Source organism: Homo sapiens, chromosome 16, assembly GCF_000001405.40.
Source record: "Homo sapiens chromosome 16, GRCh38.p14 Primary Assembly".
In the NCBI taxonomy this organism is placed as follows: domain Eukaryota; kingdom Metazoa; phylum Chordata; class Mammalia; order Primates; family Hominidae; genus Homo; species Homo sapiens.
This window is the reverse complement of record NC_000016.10, coordinates 10,590,565-10,598,226: the sequence shown is the minus strand read 5'-3', so window position 1 is coordinate 10,598,226 and position 7,662 is coordinate 10,590,565. Positions and strand designations below refer to the sequence as shown.

Below are 7,662 nucleotides of genomic sequence, written 5' to 3'. Positions count from 1 at the left end.
CACGCCTGTAATCCCAGCACCTTGGGAGGCTTAGGCAGGTGGATCACTTGAGGTCAGGAGTTCAAGACCTGCCTGGCCAATGTGGTGAAACCCTGTCTCTACTAAAAACATAAAAATTAGCCTAGTGTGGTGACGGGTGCCCGTAATCCCAGGTACTCAGGAGGCTGAGGCAGGAGAATCGCTTGAGCCCAGGAGGCGAAGGTTGCAGTGAGCTGAGATTGCACCACTGCACTCCAGCCTGGGCGACAGAGCAAGACTCCGTCTCATAAAAAAAAAAAAAGGATTGATCCTGGAGCAGGTTCCAGGCAGGGACACACCTCCAGTTCTCTGCCCAGGGCACCCCAGGTTGTATGGAGTTATCCTCTTTCATTCGTGGAGTGATGAAGCCTCACAAGCAGGGACCACCTGCAGGTTGTGAGCAGTGCTCTTTGATGAGGTGCCCCAGGTGCCTGGCTAAGTGCTCTGTAGGGACCCAAGGATATGTCTCACCATTTCTCAACAGCCTCATGACTGGTCTCTCCTTTTCTAATCTTGTCCCCTCCAATCCATTTCTCCCACAGTAGCCAGAAAACATGAATTGGCTCATTCACTCCACTGCTTCAGCTGTTCACAGGCTTCCACCATCCTTAGGATCAAATTCAAATTCCTACCATGGTCAAGGAGAGCTGCTTAATGTGGCCCCTGCCTGCCTCTCTGGTTTCTCCTTATCTCTCATTCCCCCAACTCATTCCAGCCATAGCAACTTCCTCCTTTCCATCACACGCACGTGACTCTTCCCTACCCCAGGGACTTTGCACCTGCTGTTTATGTCCTCTACAAGAAGTTTTTGTTCCATGGCTGGTTACTCTTCTAGTCTAACTGTCACCCTTCAGAGAGATCTTCCCAGATCACTGCCTCAACAGCGCCCTCACCACTCTCTCTCTGTCACCCTGTTTCATTTCTTCCTAGCACTTGTCATACTGAAAGTGTCTTGTTTTCTTGCTTATTGACTGATTGATTTTTCCCCCCATGGTCTATCTCTACCCCTAGAGAGGGTGGGGACCTTGTCTGGCCTGTTCACTGTGAGTGCCTGGGCCTGGCAAATGCCCAAAAGGTGTTAGTTGAATGAAGGAACAAAAGAAATTCACAAAGAGTTTCAAAGCATGAAGTGTGTGCAAGTCATTGTAGGGGCTTACAAATTACACATCACCACTCTGAAGGTAATATACCCGAAGGGTTATTCTAAGTGCTTTGCGTATTCGAACTCAACCTTTCCGCAGTCCTAGGAGGTAGGGAGTAGTAGTAGTAGTAGTCCCATTTTACAGATGAGAAAATGAAGGCACGGAGAGGTTAAATGACTGTGTAATGTCACACAGTCAGTCAAACCCAGGCATAGCCAGCTCCATAAGCTGTAGTATGTCTATGGGGAAACATGACGTGTGATGCAAACTTCTTAGCTGGGTTGCACAAGGAAAAGAAAAACCATCTCCTTACATTGTGGCCACACCCACATGGGTGAAATGAAGCTGCTGAAGGTGGGAGCGGGGGACAAGGAATTCCTTCAGGAATCCTAAAAGAAGCAGCAGAATTCCATGGTGGGTAAATCAGAAGCACAAAGTTCTAGGACCCATGGCTTCTCACCACGCCAGACTGTTTCCCCATCTCCAAAGTGCAACAGTGACACGATGGTCCTGGGCATTTCTCTCAGTTTTATGATTCTATTAAGTGACAAATGGGTGCCACCCAGTATCCCAGAAACTCCTGGGGTGGGTAGGAAATGGTGGCGAGTGGGGCTCAGACAGCAGAGAAAGGCATCAAAATCTAGGTCGGAAGTGGGAGTCAGGTGGAAAGGAGCGCACAGCTGTGGCTTCTGTTTGCCCAGTGCCCAGTCCTCCTTTCTCTGCTAGCTGCATGCATTCCCTTTTGGGAACTACCCTTTGGCCATGCTGTACAGATCTGGGGGATGGGGGTGTCTAATAAGGGGTTCTGGCTTCCCCATGGCCATGGGGGTGGACATATAACCCAAGCTAAGCCGATCAGATCCTCTCTCCAAATAGGAGTCCCAGCCCCAGGGAACCAGGGGTGGGGGAGGAAGGTGGTACCCACTTCTAGGCTCCTCCCAAGTCATGCAAGATCTTGTATCTCCTGTGGCTGGGGAGGCTCTTGCTGCACGCAGAATCCTCAGAGGGCTCCCCACAGGCTCCCGCCCCAGCCTTTCCCTCTGACCTCATTCCTGCCACTTTCCCCATCGTGCGCCATGTTTCAGCAACACGGTCACTGATTATGCCTCAGACAGGGCAAGCTCCTAGTCACCCCAGGGCACTTGGACTTGCTGCTTCCTCGCTCAGAACATTCAGCGGCAGACCTTCCTTCTCACGGTGGTTCTTTCTGGTTGTTTCAGCCTTTATCCGCGGTGTCCTCAGGCCCTGCCCTGCCCCTGTGGTCAGTGTCTACCACGTCCTCCAGCTATATTTTCCTCAGGGCACATATCGTGAGCTGAGGTTGCTTGGCTGCCTTATATGTTGATTTGCTTTTGTCGGCCTCCCGTTTGGTGTAAGCCCCTTCTCTGAGTGTTGCGCCTCCTCCTACCTTCCTGGGCCAGGCAGAGCCCCTGGAACTTGGCCAGCGTTTCAAAAAAATGATATTTGAGGCTGAGCACTGTGGCTTATGCCTGTAATCTCAGCACTTTGGGAGGCCGAGGCAGGTGGATCACTTGAGACCAGGAGTTTGAGACCAGCGTGGCCAACATGGTGAAACCCCATCTCTACTAAAAATACAAAAATTAGCCGGGCATGGTGGTGGCAGGCTCCTGTAGTCTCAGCTACTCAGGAGGCTGAGGCAGGAGAATCACTTGAACCTGGGAGGCAAAGGTTGTAGTGAGCCGAGATGGCACCATTGCACTCCAGCCTGGGCAACAGAGTGAGACTCTGTCTCAAAAAAATAAAAATACAAAATTTTAAAATACAAAATTTAAAAATATTTGAATAAAAGAATAAATTAATTAAGGGGGCAGTGGAGTGTGTGTAATGCCAAGTAATCCTCTATAGAATACTTCAGAGAGTTACAATGAGGGAATTCTTTGTCCTGTTTTCAAATGGGAAAACTGAGGCCAGGCAAGAGACAAGGAAGTCATATCAGAACGCCAACCTGGCCTTCCATCCCCTTGGGAAGAACTTCTCCAACCTCCCTCCATACAGGAATACTTGGGCTTCAGAATCACTTCCCACAAAGGGGAGCCCGGCACCCAGGGCCAGGGAATCCCCAGCAGTGATCTTCCCTGAGCTTCCAGGAAACGATCTGTTTCTCTTCTTTGTGAGACACACAAAGCGTTCTCATGGAGGAGGGGCATGTGCACGGAGGAGCCCTTGAACACCTGGACCTGGGGCACCTGGGAGGTGGGAGGATGGGAGGAACCCAGCAGCCGAGGACAGGTGGCAGACAAGCTGGGTCATGCTGTGCGCCCGTCCAAACGGATCCGCCTGGCATGTGGGTGGTGTGGCCCAACTGGTTGGGTGAGTGTAGGGTGTGGGCTGGTGAGGGTGCCAGCCAGTGAACTGTGACACTCCTGCCCTGCAGATGGGGAGGCACCTGGTCTCCCTTCCTCAGAACAGCCCCAGTCTGCACTGACTCTGGGTTTGAGACCATCAACTGAAAGGACCCAGAGGTTCCCTGGCATCCTTCCAGGAACGAGGATGTGCTGGGCACAAGGTCACTTGAGTCAGGCTTCCTGAGAGCATCTCACCTCCTGGTGGAGGGAAAGGAGGAAGTATTCCGGGGCTGGAAATGAAATGGAGATTGGGTCAAGATAAATGCATGAAGAGGCCACTAAGGAGAGAAAGCTTGAGGGGGACACAAGACAGTTGAGTGTGGTCATTAAGAATTTGGAGATCCTTGGATATTCCAATTATCCTGATTTGATTATATGAATGTATCAAATTATTACATGTACCCTAAAAATATGTATATCTAATATATCACTAAAAATAAATACATGAACTTAAATGAAAAAAATAATTTTGGCCATGCATGGTGGCTCAAGCCTGTATTCCCAGCACTTTGGGAGGCCAAGGTGGGAGGATCACTTGAGCCCAGGAGTTCAAGACCAGTCTGGGCAACATAGTGAGACCCTGTCTCTAAAAATAGTAGCAATAATAATATTTTTTTTTAAAAGAATTTGGAGGCCGGGCACGGTGGCTCATGCCTGTAATCCCAGAACTTTGGGAGGCCAAGGCAGGCGGATCACCTGAGGTCAGGAGTTCGAGAACAGCCTCACCAACATGGCAAAACCCCGTCTCTACTAAAAATACAAAAAAAAAAAAAAATATTAGCTGGGTGTGGTGGCACATGCCTGTAATCTCAGCTACTCAGGAGGCCGAGACAGGGAAATCACTTGAACCCAGGAGGTGGAGGTTGCAGTGAGTTGAGATCACGCCATTGCATTCCAGCCTGGACAATAAGAGCGAAACTATGTTTCAAAAAAAAAATTTGGAGTTCCGCAGAGCTTTGAGTCTTGGCTCTTGCCACCTACTTAGTTAACCTGTCTGAGCCTCTGCTCCCTCATCTGTAAAACAGGGGTCACAGCACCTACTTTCTAGTGTGGTGAGGATTAGATGAAGCCAGGGCACGTAAAAAGTGTTCGGCACTTAGGTGTTCAATAAGGTGGGAGTAAGGAAGAGAAGCTTAGATGGGCGATACTGAGGACAGTCTGGTGTCTGTCATCACTTGCTATGTCTCCTTTCTCTATCCCCTAAGTTTTACTTTCCCTTCCTAGAAAATGCTGGGATGGGCCCCACCTCTCTGGACTCTTTCCACTCCATATTCTGTTCTGTCACTTCGCAAAGCTGGTTGCTCGTGCTCTAGCTAAGGTGCTAACAGTTGATGTGTAGCTAATGGGATAATGACTGACAATGGATTCACGGGGCTTCCCATCTAAGAATTTTACCCAGTGACACCTCGAGAAGCCAAAGGAACATTCTCTGCAGAGTCTGGCACAGAGAAGGGGATACGAGAGGGTGATTTGGGTTGAAGGGCGCTTCCTTGGCCCTCCTATGTCTGCTAAGTGTCCTCAGACCCAGCCCCAGTTTATTAAATGGATAGGCACTGGATACAACTGCAAAGAGGAAAGACAGGAATTAAAGCCCTTAGAACGTTTCTGGGGGGATCCCTTAACATCCCTTTTGGGGGATGCAAAAGGGCAGGATCGATAGATGTGCCATGAAAGGTCTGGGGGCTGCACGTGGGGAAGAGGCCCCAAGATTCACTCTCTACTTCTCTGTGTTATTGTCCTTGATTTCCTAGATTTATGCTGGAACAGAGTTCTGAATTTGGTCATCCCAATACCACCTTCACAGTTACTGCCTTTTCAGTACCTCCTACCTATATTATTATTTCAGAGTTTGTTCAATTGCAGCCTGTGGGCCAAATATGATCCCAAGTCTGCCTTTGTAAATAAAGTTTTATTGGAACACAGCCAGGCCCACCCATTTATAGTTGAGATGAATGGCCTGCAAAGTTAAAAATATTTGCTATCTGGCCCTTTACAGAAAAAGTTTCGTGACCTTTGATTTTACTTCATTTAAAAAAAATCAACTTATGTTTTTGACTTAAATTTATTTCAAAATGAATTTTTTTTTACCACTACCATAAACAGAAAATCACAATCTCAAGCCTGAATGGAAGGAAATTAGAAAAACAGAGCCAAAGCAAAACAATGATTTTCAATTCTACCTGGAGGCTGTTGCCTAACCAAACTTCTGAGTTGAGGCCTGTGTGCTCTTTCTTTAGGAGAGATATTATTCTTTCATTCATTCCACAGGTATTTGTTGAGCACCTGCTATGTGCCATGGCCCCCTTAACCCCCCCTCCTTTAGGTCTGATTTATACATTCTGTTCCCCACAATATTTCATCTGAACAAAAAGATAAAAGATTCTGATTCTTAAAAGGTTGAGACCAGGTATGGTGGCTCACATCTGTAATCCCAGCACTTTGGGAGGCCAAGATGGGAGGATCACTTGGGCCCAGGAATTTGAGACCAGTCTGGGCAACAAAGTGAGACCCCATCTCTTTAAAAAAAAAAATGGTTGAAACCAACCAAATTAGGGGAAAATCCACTGGACCAGGAGCTTGGTTTTCTTGTTGTTTTCTTGACCAACATCTTGTGTTGTCTCCTGACCTGCCATGTGCCCTTGAGCAAGTCAAGTCCTCTCTGAGCTTGTTCCTTCCACATCAGATTTTCCAACTCCCCTGGACATACAGTCGCCTAGTGCTCCACCCCTTACTTCTAAAAATGATAATTCTCAGTCCCTTCCCCTGGAGATTCTGATTCAGTGGGTTTGGATGATGGACCCAGTGATGTAAATTTTTAACAAACACTCCCCTCCCGCCCAATCCACCCCCGCCCGGGGGATCACCTCCATTGTATTAGGTTGGGAAAAAGTCTTTGTGGTTCCCTCCGTCATTTCTCCAGCTTCCCAGTATTTTTTCAGCTCTGAGCACCCCGTCCCACCTGATGCCTCCTCTCTCTGGTTAGGGGAGTCTGGAGTGCTGCCACGGGAGGGGGTGACCATGTGGAGACTTATGCTGTAGGCTCCTGTCATGCCATAGGAACTGGCTGGTTGGAGAGGTGATTAGTACCCTTGGGAGGGGGAACATTTAGAAACCATTTCAGGAAAAACAGAACAAAACATCTCCTTCCCTAATCTTTAGCCAAAGGCTGATTTGCCAGTTTTCTGGCCACAAAACCTCGGATCCACCCTAGAAGAAGGAGGCCCTAGAATAACAGTTTCCAAGCACTAGGACTGGTGTCTAACAGGCTTTTACAATCCTGGAGCAAGGAATGAGCCCGGGCATCCTCAGCCTCCATGCTTCAGCACCAGGCTGAATAGGGCTGGGTTGAAGAGGATCCCATGGGCGCGGATGGACGGGATGAACTTATAACCGTGTATGGTCAGCGCTAGCTGCTTCTCCAGGAATCTTACAATCTGAGCTCTGACATTTGAGGTTCTAATTCACTTGCATGATCCAGGACAAGACCTGGGCATCCATTCTAGAATCTTCCAACTCCTTCAAGGACCACCCACTTTCCATGCTTAAAAGACACGTCTTCAGAGAGGCCTTCCCTGGCCCTGGCTGTCCTTGGTCTTTCCCCTCCTTTTAACTCTGTGTCTATTCTGTCTGCCACAAATCCCTCTCCAAGTCACAAATCCCTCTCCAAGTCTGCTGTTTGTCTTACGACCTTTTTTTTTTGAGATGGAGTTTCACTCTTGTTGCCCAGGCTAGAGTGCAGTGGCATGATCTTGTCTCACTGCAACCTCCACCTCCCGGGTTCAAGCGATTCTCCTGCCTCAGCCTCCCGAGTAGTTGGGATTGCAGGCATGCGCCACCACGCCTGGCTAATTTTGTACTTTTAGTAGAGATGGGGTTTCTCCATGTTGGTCAGGCTGGTCTTGAACTCCCGACCTCATATGAGCTGCCCGCCTCGGCCTCCCAAAGTGCTGGGATTACAGGCATGAGCCACCGCATCCGGCCACAACTTTTTTCATACTTTATCACTTGGATCTTTTTTTCCTTCTTGAATTTCAGCTGCTACAACTTGTAATGGAATGTTTGTTTGCTTGGGTATTTATTAATATCTCATAGCCCCCTCACTAGTCTGTTCCCTTCACTGAGTCAGGGACTATGTC

General features: G+C 48.5%; 2 annotated features.

Moving 5' to 3' along the window:
• Window positions 701–995: an enhancer, noted in NCBI's record as "tiled region #2211; HepG2 Activating DNase matched - State 4:PromP". NCBI's record gives its function as "activates a minimal TATA promoter and a strong SV40 promoter by Sharpr-MPRA in HepG2 cells {active_cell/tissue: HepG2}" and the evidence as "EXISTENCE:reporter gene assay evidence [ECO:0000049][PMID:27701403]".
• Window positions 3,422–3,938: an enhancer, noted in NCBI's record as "H3K27ac-H3K4me1 hESC enhancer chr16:10688146-10688662 (GRCh37/hg19 assembly coordinates)". NCBI's record gives its function as "activates a minimal SCP1, AML or CMV promoter by ChIP-STARR-seq in primed H9 embryonic stem cells {active_cell/tissue: H9 hESC(primed)}" and the evidence as "EXISTENCE:reporter gene assay evidence [ECO:0000049][PMID:30033119]".